We start from the raw sequence: 16,267 nt of genomic DNA on the forward strand, positions 1-16,267 counted from the left end.
AGGGCACTGCATGGATCTGGGATTTAGTCCCTGCCCTGCCACATAATGGTTGGGAGGTTTTGACAAGTTCCTGAATCTCTCTGAGCCTTAATGTCCTCATCTGTAAAATGGGGATCATAAAACCTGCCTCACAGACTTGGAAAACTAAATGACAAATTCAGCACCCCAAAATCATAAAATTAATTCAGGAGTATCCTAAGTTCTTATACTGGCTTTGTTTGGAGGACACGAAAGTAGGCTATCTGCCTCCAAAAGCAGAAATCTTTGGATATAGGAATATTTAAAAATATTATTTTTAAATCTCTTGTTCTGGATTCTTAAGGAAGAAAGAATCCTGGGCTCTCAACCTCACGCTACCTGAGAAGCAACTGTGCCCTTTCTTACTCTCCCCTAAAAAATGTACTCCCAGAATTGCGCTCCTTCCAACCATTAGAATTTGTTGCTTCAAGCACAGGAGCCATACAATTGCCTTCCCTAAAAAGCATCCTCTATTGCCTCCTGCTCCCAGAAAATATGGCATAAGATGAAGTCATCTCTTGCCCTTGGCTATGATTTGCTAGTGCCAGTGTGTGAAATGTGGCTTACCCATACCTTCTACTCACCAAACACAGATTGCAAAGATCCTGCAAAGGTCTCCCTTAGCCCACTGCCCTATTCCAATACTGTCTCAGACCCAACTTCACATCTTCTGTGCTTTCTAGAATTCACTCATCTCTGTATTCCCTATGTCAGACAGATTCCCATGGGGTTAGAGTGGTAGCAAATGACTTAGCCTCCAGATGTTTCATCCAGAATTAAGCCTCTTGAAACACATTATCACTCCAACATGATGTGCTTTCAATAGGGTAAGGACTATGCTGGTGACCGCTAGGAAATAAATTTGCCCCTTGCTTGTCCAAAGTGTCCGGATGGGCTCTAGAGTTTTGGCAAAAGTTCCTTGCAGCATCTTGAGCTGTTATTCCGTTTTAAAATTAAGTCCCTTGAAAATGGCTCTTGGCCTTTAAAATCTGCTTCTTTGACAAAGACAGCATATACACAGTTTCTTGGACAGATAACCCACTGGATATTTGATGAGTGTTCACTGAACTAAAGAAGGGGGAGTTACTCAAATATAAGCAATCTTTCATCAGCACATTCCTCACTCGAGTATTCCTAGAATATCACCCCTAACCCCTCCTGACCAGCTCAATTAACCAGAACCCCAGTGGGTATGTTTCCCAGTTTCTTGGTTTCTCTTCCTTCCTTAACACATACATGATTTTTGTTTTAGTTGGTGGGATTCAGAGGAGTAGGGGGTCTCTGAGATAAACATTTTTTTAACCTTTCCTATGGTGCTGATATCAGACAAATGTTTTAATGAAGTTGCGGAGAATTGGAGAGAATAGAATGGAATACTCTGGCAACTTTCATTCTTGCCTGAGAGTCCCCTTGCCCCTCCACTCCCACCTTTCACCACTTACTTCAAACATGGTAGAATAGCTCACACTCATGGTAAGAGAGATAATCACAAAAGGAAAAGAAGCATCTGGAGAGCAGTTATCGAAGGAGTGGCGAAGACTTCTCTGCTGTGGGTGAACTGAACTCTTGATTTTGTGAAGGTTAACTGGAGCTGGAGCTGCAGAGCTGTGAGTTCCTGCTCCCACTGGAAACTTTCTCCAGTGAGGCCTGGAGCTGCTGTCCTTGGGTGAAATTGCTCGTGGGCTCACCTTCTATTCGGGGGACACAGAATTCCACTCTGTCACCATCTGGGGGCTTAAGGGCAGAGTCAGGGGAGAGTCAGTGGGAACTTCTGCTGGCAGGGGCCTTCCACTGAGGGCCTGGTCCTGTGGCATGGCTCTGCTCATTAGTACATATGAAGCCATCTCAATTCTCTAAGGCAGTTTTCCCATCTGTAAAAATGGGATCAATAATACACTTCATATGGTTGTGGTTCAGTGAACTATGTGAAATGTATTTGAAAGTACATTGTATTGAAAGTGTAGTACAAATGCTAGTTACTGTCATCACAGAGATGACACATACAAAAACATAATTTTTTTGAACTTTATATTAAAAATTAACATATAGTAAAACTGGTTTGTATGTGAACAGTTTTATGAAACATAATACATGTATAGATTTGCATAACCATCACCACAATAAAAACAGAGAAGAGTTTTGTTGCCCCATTCATTCACTGAATAACATTTATTCATGGTGTATTATTATTTTATATATTATTGTTGTATATGTTTTATATTGCTGGATTCAGTTTGCTGTGTGTGTGTGTGTTAACAACATTCAATATGAAACCTACCCTCTTAACAAATTTTAAGTATATAATACAGTATTATTAACTACAGGCACAATGTTGTATACTAGAGCTCTAGAATTTATTCACCCTGTATAACTAAAACTTTATACGCTTTGAATAGCAACTTTCTATTTCCCTTGAGGGATATTGTTTTAAAGTTTTCTTTTCTTGTACTGTGTTTGTCTGGTGTGAGGGTAATGCTGGTTTCATAAAATAAGCTGAGAAATATTCCTTTCTTTTTTCTGGGAAGATTGCTGTTATTTCTTGTTGAAACATTTGCCAGAATTCATCAGTGAGACCATCTGAACTTAGAGATTTCTTTTTCAAAGGATTTTCAACTATGAATTCAATGTCTTTAATAATTATAAAACTATTTATATTATCTATTTCATGATGGCTAGATTCTGGTAGATTGAAATTTTCAAGAACTTGGTGCATTTTTATCTAACTTGCAGGATTTGTATGTGTATAATTTTTTGTAATACTCTGTTATTATTATTTGTTTTAAATGTCTGTAGGGTCTGTAGTAATACTCCTTTCATTTCTGATACTGGTAATTTGTATCTTCTTTTTAAACTAGATGTTTACCAATTTTATTAATCTTTTCAAAGAACCATTTTTGGTTTTATTGATTTTCTCTATTGTTTTTCTATTTTTAATTTCATTGATATATATACTTATTTTGTTATGTCTTTCCTTTTGTTTACTTTGAATTTGCTCTGAATTGAATTTGATCTAGTCTTGTAAGATGGAAGCTAAAATGATTGATTAAACACCTTTCTTTTTTCCTAATATAAGCATCTATTCCTATAAATTTCCCTCTAAGAACTGCTTTAGATACATACCATAAATTTTAATATGTTATATTTTCATTTACAATCAGTTTAAAATATTTTCTAGTTTCCCTCAAGACTTCCACTATGATCAAAAAATTATTTAATAATAGTGTTTTGTCTCAAAGTGTTTTATGATTTCCCCACATGTGCTTTTAAAACCGTTAAACCTAGGAAAGTTGCAGAAATCTAATGAAGCCATTATTTTACAAACTAAATAATTTATTGAGCACGTTCTGTGTGCAAACCCCTAGGCTAAGTGCTGTTTAGGGTGTAAGGCTGCATGAGTTTTAGTTCCAGCCTTTGAGTAGTTGGAAGTCCAGGAGGGAAATCAAGATATCCATATAAACAAGTGGGGTGTATGGTGGTGGGTGAAACATGCTGTCGTGTGGTTCATGGTGCAGAGCAGCTCTGTAAGAGGGGTCTCTTCCAGCAGAGGTGCTCAAGGTCAAGGGTGTGAGGTAGGACTTTAGAATAGGTAGTATTTCCATAATGAAGGTTTTAGGGGAGGGCCTTTTCTAGTTAGTGAGAGCTTTGTCTGAAAGTGGCAGTAGCTCTTGCCCTTTGGGCACCTTTCCCTCCCAGTGCCCAGGCAAGCCTGCTGCTGCTTGGCACACTTGGCCTGCTCAATTACACACATCTTTGGAGTGAATTAATCAGTCTCACTAGACTGAGCTTTCCCAAAAGCCTTTAGAGAAACAGATATTTTTCACTGCTTTCTGGACCAGCAGAGGTGACGTTGGGAAAGGGGGACAAAAATAAAGCTAATATTGAAAGAGCATTCTACTTCCCACACATCCTGCAATTTCAGAGATAGAGTTTGTCCTTCTGCCTTGTCAGGAACAGAGCTAAGAATCAAGGATGCAAGATAATAAAGCAGCTCATTGGCAAAACCTGGAGCATGCTGCCACTTTGTGAAAGTAAATAAAATTAGCTTTAGAATTTTCCTTTGGCCTCTCTGGCCTCCAGAAACAAGAGGAATATTGGGGTCATTGAGGCCAAAGGAGAGTGGAGTGGCAAGGAGAGGAAGAGGAGGTATTTGCTTAATCTCTGACGGCACTGGCTCATTGCACAAGGGAACAGAGTGGGAAATAAGAGGTAAAATTAGCTCCCATCCCTTTGAGACACATGACAGATCAACCAACAAGAAAGAATTCTAGGGAAAGTAAGAATTGACAAGCCAGAAGTCCTTGTAACCAAGTCTTTTTCATCCTTCCTGATGATTTTGGTCATATTTTACCTTCTTCCCATTTTTCTTCAAAATTCGACTTGCAGGATTTGCTTTCAGCACCTGAGAAGAACTGACTAAAAGCAATGCTTCTGAAATTTTTGAAACTTACATTTTTGTTATTTTTTTGCACTTACATAATTTGATTTTTACTGAAGAATGATTTGTGTATATGTTGGTGACTTAACAAGAAAAAATACTTTTTAGGTCTTCTAGGAAAGATTTAATTTATAGAACACTAGAACTAGATTTAACTTTATAGAAAAGAAGATTTTTTAACGGTTACTTTCTCATGAAATTTTCTTGGACAAATTACTTGAACTCTCAAAGTCTCAGTTGTTTTTTTTTTTTTTTAAATCTGGAAAACAGAAATAATAATATCTACCTCATGGGGTTGGCGTGACACAGGAAAGATAGCAATTTAAGAGTGTTAGCTGCAACTGGGCAAATGTAGATCCCTTGATATAGATATGGCCTGCATGAATAAATCAACAACAGAATAAATTAACCTAATGCTTTATGAAATCTTACCATGGAACTTCCAAACAATGCTATGAAATCAGAACTAATCTTGGTACCTTAGTGTCTGGCCCCAAAATGAAAGGTCGATATATGACCTGTTTTCTCATGCAAGTAACTAATCTGTTCTAAAGAGGAATAATTCTAAAGCAGAAGGAAGTTTTGTGAAGAAACAGATTGTGATTTATGCAAAAACAAGACTTCCTAAGGGATTTTATATTTTTATGGTGCTTTATAGCTCATAAGTGACTTTAACCTTCCTCATCTCTTTTGGACCAAAATCACCCCCAGAAAAAAGCTGGAAAGGGGTCAATCACCTTGGTTTTACAAATGGAGAAATAAAGGCTTCAAAAGAGTAAAGAACTCATCCACAGGCCAGGTGCGGTGGCTTACACCTGTAATCCCAGCACTTTAGAAGCCTGAGGTGGGTGGGTTGCTTGAGTTCTGGAGCTCGGGACCAGCCTGGGCAACATGGTGAAACCCTGTACTTACCAAAAATACAAAAAATTATCCAGGCGTGGTGGTGTGCACCTGTAGTCCCAACTACTCAGGGGCCTGAGGTGGGAGGATTGCTTGAGCCTGGGAGGCAAAGGTTGCAGTGAACTAAGATCATGCTAATGCACTCTAACCTCAAGGCTAATAAAGGCTAGAAGTAGCCTCAAACTCAGTCTTCTATGTCCAGCTCTAACTAAGGTCACTTTGGTTTAGGAACTATAGTTAAAGATATTCCAAAGTACTATTGAACCCTTTTCTACCTATGGGTATATTTTTCTGTTTTCCTACATATAAAGTGGCTACAAGCACTTGAGTAAGGGTTTAGATGAATGTTTGATTAGTTTTTATGATGAAAGTATATAAAGTTTCACCAAAGTTCTTGAAGTACTCATGTGTGAATAAGCTCCCAATGTATAATGGGGTTGAACTAAATGAGAAAAAGATAGTCAAGTGGTCTATTCTGCAGGGTTGCTCTGAGTTATTGCATAGCATGCTGCTGTGATCTGAATGTTGGTGTCTCCCCGCCAATTAACATGTTGGGACTGAACACCCAACATAATAGTATTCAGAGGTGGGAAGTGATGACGTCATGGGGCCCCCCACCCTTATAAATGGGATTGCTTCCTTATAAAAGAAGTGAATCTGTTGTGCCCCTTCCACCATGTGAGGACACAGTAACCAGGCACCATCTGTGAGGGCCTTCACCACACACTGAACCTGCTGGTGTCTTGATCTTGAACTTCCCAGCCTCCAGAACTGTGAGCAATAAATTTCTATTGTTTATAAACTACCCAGTCAATACTATTTTGTTATAGTGGGCCAAATGAATGAAGACAATGCTAACCAAGCCTTTCCATTGCACCATTCCTGCTGTTTTGTCCTGCATTTTCAATGAAGCCTGCAGACATGCAGCTTTGTGCCTTTCAACATTCAGCATGGGACAGGACTTCCAGATGGCTCTGGCCTACCCAAGACTGATTTTGATCCATTTTAAGGGATCTCTATTTCAGTTCCAAGCCCTCAGGCTATCTTCCAGTTCCTCCCCTTCTGGCAACCCTACTGAGGCAACCCTACTGAGACCTCAGAACACACAATAAGCTACAGCAGGTCTTATGGCACTCCACTTTTCTGCCAGTCCTCAGCAGCACTGGTGGGCAAGATTCAGGGACATGGAGGCCTCTGTGTGTTTGGCACTGTGCCAGGGACTCAGGTAAGAACCTAAGAGGGTCCTTGCCTTGAAAGCCCAAGGATGAATCCTCATTTCTTTTTATCCTTGCTGCCTAAACAACTGGATCTGTGAAGGAATTGGTTCTCTAATGTATTTTCTTTCAGTGAGTTCCCAAAGCAGTTTATTGTTACCAGAAAGTAGCACAAGAAAACCAGCAAACAGCCAGCCCATTCTCTTCAGTGAGTTCCTGTGGCAGTTTTGGGGGACTCCGCTGCACACTGCTACTTGTGCTTCCTTGGGGCACAGCATCCTTGGTTCCTGGGCAGTAAGCATTGCTAGCCTCCACCCCATCCATTGTGATGACAAAAAACATACACCCATCTCCATACCCCTCAGTTTGAGAATCACTGAGTTAGTTTGACTAGGAATTGTTTTGTTTAGAAACATCTTACCCAATGACAGCAGAGTCAGCAAACTACTAACTGCAAGCAGAATTTGATCCAGAGCTGGTTTTATATGACTCTCAAGCTAAGACTGGTTTTTGTTGTTGCTGTTGTTGTTGCTTTTTTTTTTTTTAAAAAAAAAAAACATTTTTAAAGGGTTGGAAGAGTAGGAGGAGGAGAAGGAGAAGAAGAGTTTGCATGTGGTCTGCAAAGTCTAAAATATTCTCTGGTTCCTTATAGAAAAAGTTCCCAAGTCAACAAACAATGACCAAGTGCCAAACTAACTACCACATACTGGTGACAGTGTGATGGATAAGACATCATTGTGGTCCTTAGGAAACCATAGTCATGTGTGGGAGAAAATAAATGCCCTGGAATAACACATGCAATGTGTGCAATGATTGGGTTATACAAATGTTGCCATGGAAGCACAAAAGAGGGGCACCTAATTCAGCCTTGGGGACTTAGGGCATGCACATCAGGGAGGTCTTCCAAGAGGAGGTGGCAGGTCAAATGAATCTGGAAAGAGAAGTAGGTATTAGGCAGGAGAAGGGTGCAGTGAAGCTGAGGGAGGATGGTGAGGTGAAAAAGACAGTGGAGGGAGATGGAGAGAGGTGCAGAGCTGTTACTGGAACACACGATAGGGCATGTCAAGAATGGAGGCCAGGGAGGAAGCAGAGGCTGCTGAAAAAGACTTTGCACCTCACAACCAGATGCTTGGACTTCACCCATTTTCAAATGCTGGCACCACCACTTAGTAGCTGTGTGGCCTAACACAAAGTATTTAACCTTTCTGTGCCTCGATTTCCTTATCTGTCACATGTGGCTAGGGGTCTTCCTCACAAAGATGCCGAGAACATTAAATGAATAATACGTACAATGCATACAGAACTGTGCCAGCCCATAACTGTACTCAGCAAATGCTGGTGGCTGTTGCTGTCAGTGCTCTTACTATGCTATAAGCAACAGGAAGGTATTAAAAAGCTGTGAGCACCTACTATGTGCCTGTCTCTCCATTGGCACCAGGAATGTGATGGTCTTACTTGTCTTATGACATCTGTGTCAGACCTAGAGCTTGCAGGAATACAGACAAAAAGTGTTCTGACTATGGAGTTCCCTGGTGCCAGCTGCCACCATGTTCAGGAGGTAGTAATGGCCCATCTGCTCTTCTGCTGAAGCTGCTTAGGAGTCAGCCTTAGAGAAGACATTTGCATCTGAAAGCTCAAGAAGGCAGGAGCTCCAGCATAAGGGCATGAAGGACTCCTTAACTCAGGAGCCACATGCTTCTTTCTTTCTCCTAAAAGGAAAATATCAAACATGGCTTAACAGTGGAGAAAAGTATCACGTTGTCTTGTCACTAGTCTCATACTTCATCCTGGGCAGCATTTTTCTTTTTTTTTCCTCAATGACCCTATCAAGTCATCAACTCTCTGAAATGACTTAGGGCCCATGCAGTCCTTAAGTGGGTCTCTGCTTCTTCACATGAAGGAAAAAATATCTCTCCCTGAACATGAAGTCCAATCCCAGAGCAGAAGTCACCCTGGAAACAGAGTCCATAATGCAGTGAGGGCTTGTGTAGGACAGAAGAGGAATCACTTCCTGCTCTTTCCTGTGGGTTCTCCCTCTGGTTGCTTTGCCTCAGCTCCAGGGACTGCCTCAGACACAGACAGAGCCTGCAAAAGAGGCAGGAGAGTAAGCAGCGGTTTGGAACAGACAGGTCTGTGAAACCCCCCTCCCCATTTCTCCTGTTGACAGTGCAGTGAGCAGAGACAGCTGCCCTCCTTCTGTGAAGCCCCCCCAAGGCTTCTGAGTTGGCGGTGGCCCCCAGGGTGGGGGCTGTGAGGAAAGTGAAAGCAGCATCACTCTCTGGCATGCTGAGAGCCTCTCCTCTAGGTTTCTGGGGATTTCACTCATAGGTTCCACATTACCCTGCAAAGCTGGGAGAACTAGGGACTACGGTGGCCATTAAAACTTGTGAATGTTCGGGGTTTAATGGAGAATATTCTAAGCTGCTGGTGGGCTCTTAGGAGAGGAATGGCACATTCAAAGAGGCAGATCTGTGTGGACTGAGGATGCAGCACTTCACTGAGTGTGGCAGCTCCCGTCACACCCTTGGCTCAGGTTCTGCCTTCTCCACTGCAAAGCAGCCTGGCGCAGATAGCTGGCAGCCTCAGCCACCCAGCCTGGGGCCCCTGTGAGTTGGGCACTGAATATGCAATCTCTAAGTGCTCTGGGCTTCTTTGAGGAGGAGGACATTATCTTTCATATTATTATATAATAATGAGAAAATGTTCCTGCCTGCTGTGGCTTTCTGGCCAAGTACACTGTGCTCTGTGAGGAAATATGGTTACAGGAATTATGCTCTTATTTATCGTCCCTCCAGAATATCAAAGTTGACAGCACAGAGACACAGGCCTGTGGTCATTTCCAGATCATTTTCCTGTTCCCCACTTCCCCTGTCCCAGCCATCATCACTTACTCTGCCTCCAGCCCCTGGGCCTCAGGCCCCTCACTTTTTCACCCACTTCCTCTGAGGACAATTTCCTCATTTAATTCTTACTTAGTCCTAGGAGTTAGGTATATTATTGTTTTCATTTTACAATTGAGGAACCTGAGGCCCAGTTAAGTAATTTGCCCAGGGTCACACAGCTAGTAAGTGGCAGGGTACAGATTTAAACCCAGGCAGTCTGGTTCCATAATTTGTGCTTCTAATCCTGGCTATTCAGCCTTCAGGTCTGGTGCTTTTTCTATGTGGTTCTAGGAACAGAACAAACTGTGGGCACCATGGGACTTGGCATCCAGAGGTGGGGACACTGTGGAGACAAGGAGCACTGTGGATCTGCCCAGCCACCCAGCTGTGTGAGATGAGCCCTTGTGGAAGCTCCAGGCCATGCAAAGGGGACAAAGAATCCTTTCCCCTTGGGACGTTTCCAGAGCTTCTTGGATAATCCCATGGTTTGGGTGTCTGAAATCCCTATGGGAAGCCCAGCACTTCCAGAGTGACTGCTGGGATTCTCAGAGCTTCCCAGAACCAGCTTTGATTTGTGCGGCTAAGCTATGGGTGACCAGCTGCAGAACACCCCTGGTTCCGGGCCAGCTCTCTGGGCATGGCCAGCAATGGTCCATGGGGACCTCTCCAGGAACACTCAGTCCAAACGTGCTGGAGTCTGTTACTGTGCATCTCTGGGCATGAGCCTGTGTGTGGGTGTAAACGGACAAATGAGCGTCTCCCCACGGCGAACCTCACTGTGTTGTCATGTTGTGTCTTCACTTTTGTCCACTAGCATGTGTGTGTGGGAGGGGACTCACGTCTAGATATGGGTATATAATAATATGAGCATACGACATGTCAAAGCTCATGTGAAAGAGGGTAGGTTGGGGTATGTAGCTGTGTAGCCATGTGTGTGCATATGGATACACCCTCCTAGTGGTTCTCCACCCCGTTGTGGCTTACAGCTGCCTTAGAAATTTCCCCTTTTGCTGCCTCAGGATCCCTGGCATGTTCCAATGTAACCTGGGCCCTGCCTTGCAGAGACCGGCAGTTTGGTGCTCTGTTGGCCTGCCTTTGTTCCTGCAGGGTGCAGCTCCTGTCTGCTTTCCCTCGCCTCCCATTGGTTTCTGTTCACCTCTCTTGCACCACCCCAAGCCTTGCTGACGTGCCCCTGGCCACATTTGTAGGGAGCTAGCAACTATTCGGTTTGGAGGCAGTTTTTGAGCCAATGAAAGGTCAGTGCCCAGAAGTCCCTGGAGCTATGGCAGGCTTGGATCCACGAGTTTCTGCAACCCACATCACCATCTCCTTCTGACCCAAGCCTCTCCCTCCAGCCTAGGCAGGCACAGCTGGTGGTTGAGGGCCCTCCCTGTCTAGTCATTCTGCCTTAGATTGGTTCCCAGTTGAAAGCAGCAACACTCTCTGGCATGCTGAGAGCCTCTCCTCTAGGTTTCTGGGGATTTCACTCATAGGTTCCACATTACCCTGCAAAGCTGGGAGAACTAGGGACTACGGTGGCCATTAAAACTTGTGAATGTTTGGGGTTTAATGGAGAATATTCTAAGCTGCTGGTGGGCTCTTAGGAGAGGAATGGCACATTCAAAGAGGCAGATCTGGGAGATGTTTCTGCAGCCTGGCAGGGAGAAGCAGCTCTTGGCACCAGCTCTAAGAGGCCTGGTGCAATGCCACTCCCTCTGCAGCAGCACTCCTCCTGAGGCCTCGGGCTCCCCATCCTCAGCAACCCCTGCTCAGGTCTCCCCAGTGTGTGACTGGCCCTTAATGCTGCTCTTTGGCCAGAAGGGCTGAGGCAGAGTGCCTCCAGGTGGGGACTTTCTTATGATGAGGAAAATGATCAGAAAGTTCTATGACCTTGGACAAATTACTTAAGCTTTCCGTGCCTCGGTTTTTCAAACTGCAAAATGGGAATAGTAACCGTATGTACCTCACAGGGTTGTGGTGAGAACTGAGTTACTCTGTGTAAAGCACTTGGAACAATATCTGGCTTGTAAGCACTCAATAACTGTTTGCTACGATTAGACTATCCCACTGGTCAAGCTAGCCTTTTACCTGGGTCTGCTGGATGGGGGAAGAAGGGAGGGACAATGCCCTTCCATCCCAGGAAAGGATTCCCACTGACCTAGCATTACAGAGTACATGCAGGCTGCCTGGTGGACGCAGCCCTGAGCTGCCTTCCTGTCAAGGCAGGTGAGCACATCCTGCCTCTCCCTGCTTTAATATCTCTGAAGTCTTTTCTTAAAGGTCAGCAGAGCAGAGAGACCCCTCTAGAATTGGTCTCTTGTGATAAGGCCAGAAGACCTAGACTCTAAAAATAAACCTTAATAAGATTTTAAGTAAACACTTTCTCTACAACAATTCAGATCACGATTCCTTTCCTCTCCTAGAGCAATGTGACCTATAGCGAAGCCCATTCCCGTCGAGTTGAAAATGTCAAAGGCTTCCAGAGTGCGACGTGAACTCAGATAAGACTCGTTCTGCCTCTGGCCTGCCTTGCAGCCTTCGTGTATGAGCCCCGGTCTCACCCCAGGGTGCACCGGGCGCTCCTGTCCACCCCACCCCCGCAGCCCACTGGGCCGGGTGAACCCCTGAGCCCCGCTGCAGTGTGTCCGCACTAGAGCCAAGCAGGAGAGGGAAAGGCGTCTGCAGTCCGGGTTTGCCCCAACGTGCTGCTCTCAGAGGTGGTGTCTGGGGACCACCGAGTTTATCTGCGGGTGGGGGCCAGCCTGGATAGCCCAGTGCGGCGCAGGGCGGTGCTCAGGGCTGTGGAATGCCCCGAAGGGCGTAGGCTCGGGGTCTCCCAGCCAGGACACACAAGGCAGGCTGGGGAGCCAGGGTCAGCCAGGGCACGCCGCTGAGATGTCTTTCCTGCTCCTTCTCCCCGGGAAGCAAGGGAAGCAAAAGGCCAGAGGGGTGCTGGGATCGCTGTCCGCAGCACCAGCCTTCTCCTGGGACGTGTTCAGAAAGAGGGAGGCTACAGTGGGCGGGGAGAGAAGAAGGAAGAGAAGGTGGGCAGAAAGGGGGCAAGATGAAGCGGCAAGGAGGAGGGAAAGGAGAAGCTAAGGAGGGAGGATGGGGAGGCGGCGACAATGGCCGCGCTACCGGTCGCCCACTGTGCTGCGGTGGGTCGGGGCCCACTGCCCCTCGCTGGGGCACCTGGGGAGGGGGCGCTGGGGCACCTGGAGAGGGCGCGCAGGAGCAGCGGGCCGAGCCTTCTGCGGGGATGGGGTGGGAAGAGAAGAAATGAAGACACAGAGGAGTAGAACAAAGAGGCGGGAGCACCCCGCCAGGGGACCGGGAAGGGTCGAGGAAAACTGCTGCCGCGCCCCACTGGGTTTTAACAACGCCCGGGATGGGGGAAGGGCTCCCACTTGCGCCCCAAGCGCATGCGGAGAAGGTTCGGCAGCGCCTCCTGCCGGCCGCCCGGAGGGTCCGCGGTGGCGCCAGCCCCGATCGCAGCCGCGCAGGCCCGAGGGCCCCTACCCGCACGGTGAATTGTCTTCCACGCACTAGTATTTTCTCCTCGCTTTCAACTGAATGGCGGCATTGGTTTCACTATTTCCTTCCTGGAGCTGTGGTTGAGGCCGACTGTCCCAGCTAGAATGAAATATTATTGTACTCTAGCCTCTGTCTCTGGTTTGGGATTTGAAGATTTCAGAAAAGATGCATTCTCTCATAATTAATGCAGGTGGCTGTCACTGCGGCCACAGTTGGCCCCAGGCAAAAGAGCACAGACTGAGAAATTGAGGTGAGGGAAAGGAAGTAATAAACACAGCCTAGATAGACGGCAAATGAAACCTTGCTTAACCTACTGCTGAGTACAGGAGCCAGCGGGGCACTGCACCGTCCCCCCTCCACTACTCCACCAACCCTCTACCAAACGCTTTGTATATGTCTCCTCACTTAATCCCCAGAGTCACCCCGTATATTAGCTAGTATTAGCCCCGTTTTACGGATCAGAAGACTACAATTTCAAGAGGTTAAGTCACTTGCTCACAGTCACACTGCCAGCAATAAGAAAGGCTCACATTTGAACCTGGATCTGACTTTGCAGTGTTTTCCTGTCTCCCAGGGAACGCTTCCTTACACACCGCCCCTCTTGATTCCTTCCCTTGGGGACCCAGCATTCCCAGTTTTCTCCTCACCCTCGTTTCCCTACCTCATCCCTAGCCCAGCCTCAGGCACCCATCTGCCCTCTCTAGCTCCACGTCTGCATTGCAATATGTTCTATGAGGAGGATCTGGAACTAGTTCATACCGAGGTTTCAGTGACTGATAGGCACTTAAAGGACCTCCCACCCCCCAAAGAGTTATCTTTAAAGTAGAATCTAAGCCTCCAGTTAGACGAAGTTCTTAAGGACATTGATTCAAGCAAGAGCCAGGAAAGTGGAGCAGTGCTGTGGGTGCAGCAAACCCTACAGGTGCTCCCCAACCCCATAAGCAAGGTCCACTCCTTCTGTGAGCGTTAGCAGATGAGTCTGGAGGGGCGGTGTGATGGGCCCTTAGTTGAGAACCTACTGTGTGCCTGGTACATACTGCCACACACTTCACAAATGTTACCCCCTTTATTCCCCGGAACTATCCATGAGCTGGTTGCAACTTTTCTCTGTTTCACAGAGGAGGGAACCAGGGCCTGCTTAGAGATTCAATAACTTGCCCAAGGAAATGCTGCTAGTAAGTACCTAAATTGATATTTAAACCCATTCTTTCAATCAGTTATTCAGTAAGCATATTTTCTAAATTTTTCTTCTCAAAATTTTTTTTAGAGACGGCTTTTTCCTTTGCTTCCCAGCCTGGAATGCAGTGGCACAATGATAGCTCATGGTATCCTTGACTCCCTGCGCTCAAACGATCCTCCTGACTCAGCTTCCTGATTAGCTGAGGCTACGGGCATGTGCCACAAGGCCCACCTAATTTTTTTTTCTAGCATTGGGGTCTTGCTATGCTGCCCAGGCTGGTCTGGAACTCCCAGTCTCAAGCACTCCTCCAAGCACTCCTCCAACCTCGGCATCCCAAAGTGCTGGGATTACAGGTGTGAGCCACCGTGCCCGACCAAGCACATTTTTCAATCTTTAAGTACTATTTGGCTGTCTGAAGCCATGGAAATGAGATATAATTCTTCTCTCCCTCACTGCTTTTGCTCCCAAGGGACCAAATGGACATATCAACAAATCACTATAGTGAGGTGTTTCAGGCTAGATGTTGTTTGGAGTACCGTGGGTGGGCCATAAACACTAAATACACAGTTCTTCCTAAGGGCAGGAGGTAAGAGAACTATGGAACCAGGCCTGTCCCATCCCCTCCAGAAGTACTGTGGTGTGGGGGAGGGGGCCACAGTGGCTTCAGATGGGACCTCTTAAGAAGTCCCTTGACTCCCCTCCTGTGGGTCTTCTGGCTTCACTGTGGCATCCGGAGATTATTAGATCATTATAAAGTGCTTGCATTTCTTGGTATATTTGGGCAGCTTAATGTATAGGAATCATAATTTTTCTTTGCTTTTCCAGTTCAACAGAGGATGGTTTTAAAATATACTTGACTTGAAGAATAAGGATGAAAAATAAAATGTGGGAGCCTGAGGTAAAAATGGAAAATAGATGAAACTCAAAGTATTTTCAAGGTGTCTTTTTCTCTGTGTTTCTATTTTGCAGGTTTTAAAAGCAGAATTAAAGTGTAAAGTAGAGGGAAATTTCTCTGATGCAGCATTTACATAAGAAACACATTCAGAAAAAGAGGCTGTGATTCTGAACGCGTCCTTATTATACTGCACTAAAAATCTCCCTTGGGATGAGGGAGGTTTAAATTAGTTGGAGAGAGAAGGAAATAAAATCCTCTTTTTCAAAATGCAAATCTCTCCCAAACTAAAAATTCTACCTTAGGAAATGGCCACACAGGGTTCATGAGCAGACAAAGCCCTCATTGTATAAGGACCCCACCTTCTCAAGCCTTCAGCACAATTCACCGGCTTTTCCTACATCTCCTCCACAAGTCCCAACATAGAACTTGGTGCCACATCACAGACCTCAGTAAAATTCACAAGGAGGTTCTTGTTTTTAGTTGTTGTACATTTTGCTGTGGAAATGTATCCACAGGCCATTTTAGTTGACTTGAGAAATCAAAGTTAATGGGAATAGCACAGAATGTCATGCACCTCCACAAGCCCATATTATGTATGTGTGTATTTGCGTATATTTTCTCCAACATCTGTCAATATTTGCATGCTAAACTGCATAGAATTTCACAGACAAGTATAATGCCATTAACATCATGTGCTAGTTAGCTATTGCTACATAGCAAACAACCTCAAACTTAGTGGCTTAAACAGCAACTTTTTTTTTTTTTTGGGATGGAGTCTCACTCTGTTGTCAGGCTGGAGTGCAGTGGTGCGATCTCAGCTCACTGCAACCTCCGTCTCCTGGGTTCAAGTAATTCTCCTGTCTCAGCCTCCCAAGTATCTGGGACTACAGGCACATGCCACCATGCCCAGCTAATTTTTGTATTCTTAGTAGAGACGGGATTTCACCATGTTGGCCAGGATGGTCTCGATCTCTTGACCTTATGATCTGCCCTCCTCGACCTCCCAAAGTGCTGGGATTATAGGCATGAGCCACTGCACCTGTCCAAACAGCAACCATTTTATTATGTATCATGATTTTCTAGATCAGGAATTAGGGCAGGGCTGGGCTGGATGATTCTCCTGCTCCAGAGTGACACAGGTTGGGGTCACTTGGTGGTATTCAACTAGTGGTGAGGCGGGTCTGGAGGGCCCAAAACTGTTTGACTCAC

At 45.3% G+C, this 16,267-nt stretch overlaps 1 long non-coding RNA gene across 1 annotated transcript, besides 4 other annotated features; it reads right to left on the reverse strand.

Annotated features, from left to right (window-relative positions):
* Positions 1-6,700: 6,700 nt before the first annotated feature.
* On the reverse strand, positions 6,701-13,193 carry LOC124904384 (uncharacterized). The gene is made up of 2 exons (XR_007066496.1): positions 12,969-13,193; positions 6,701-8,652 (listed from the first exon to the last, which is right to left on the reverse strand). It is a non-coding gene; the product is annotated as an uncharacterized LOC124904384 (long non-coding RNA).
* Positions 12,816-12,925: a silencer, noted in NCBI's record as "silent region_1228". NCBI's record gives its function as "represses an Ori minimal core promoter by ATAC-STARR-seq in GM12878 lymphoblastoid cells {active_cell/tissue: GM12878}" and the evidence as "EXISTENCE:reporter gene assay evidence [ECO:0000049][PMID:35858748]".
* Positions 13,126-13,215: an enhancer, noted in NCBI's record as "active region_1558". NCBI's record gives its function as "activates an Ori minimal core promoter by ATAC-STARR-seq in GM12878 lymphoblastoid cells {active_cell/tissue: GM12878}" and the evidence as "EXISTENCE:reporter gene assay evidence [ECO:0000049][PMID:35858748]".
* Positions 13,990-14,173: a silencer, noted in NCBI's record as "fragment chr1:116712258-116712441 (GRCh37/hg19 assembly coordinates)". NCBI's record gives its function as "represses an EF-1alpha promoter that drives an FKBP-Casp9 reporter gene in an ReSE screen in K562 erythroleukemia cells {active_cell/tissue: K562}" and the evidence as "EXISTENCE:reporter gene assay evidence [ECO:0000049][PMID:32094911]".
* Positions 15,561-15,855: a silencer, noted in NCBI's record as "tiled region #10090; HepG2 Repressive DNase matched - State 5:Enh, and K562 Repressive non-DNase unmatched - State 21:Repr". NCBI's record gives its function as "represses a minimal TATA promoter and a strong SV40 promoter by Sharpr-MPRA in HepG2 and K562 cells {active_cell/tissue: HepG2 | K562}" and the evidence as "EXISTENCE:reporter gene assay evidence [ECO:0000049][PMID:27701403]".

This window comes from Homo sapiens, chromosome 1 (genome assembly GCF_000001405.40).
Source record: "Homo sapiens chromosome 1, GRCh38.p14 Primary Assembly".
NCBI classification, from domain to species: domain Eukaryota; kingdom Metazoa; phylum Chordata; class Mammalia; order Primates; family Hominidae; genus Homo; species Homo sapiens.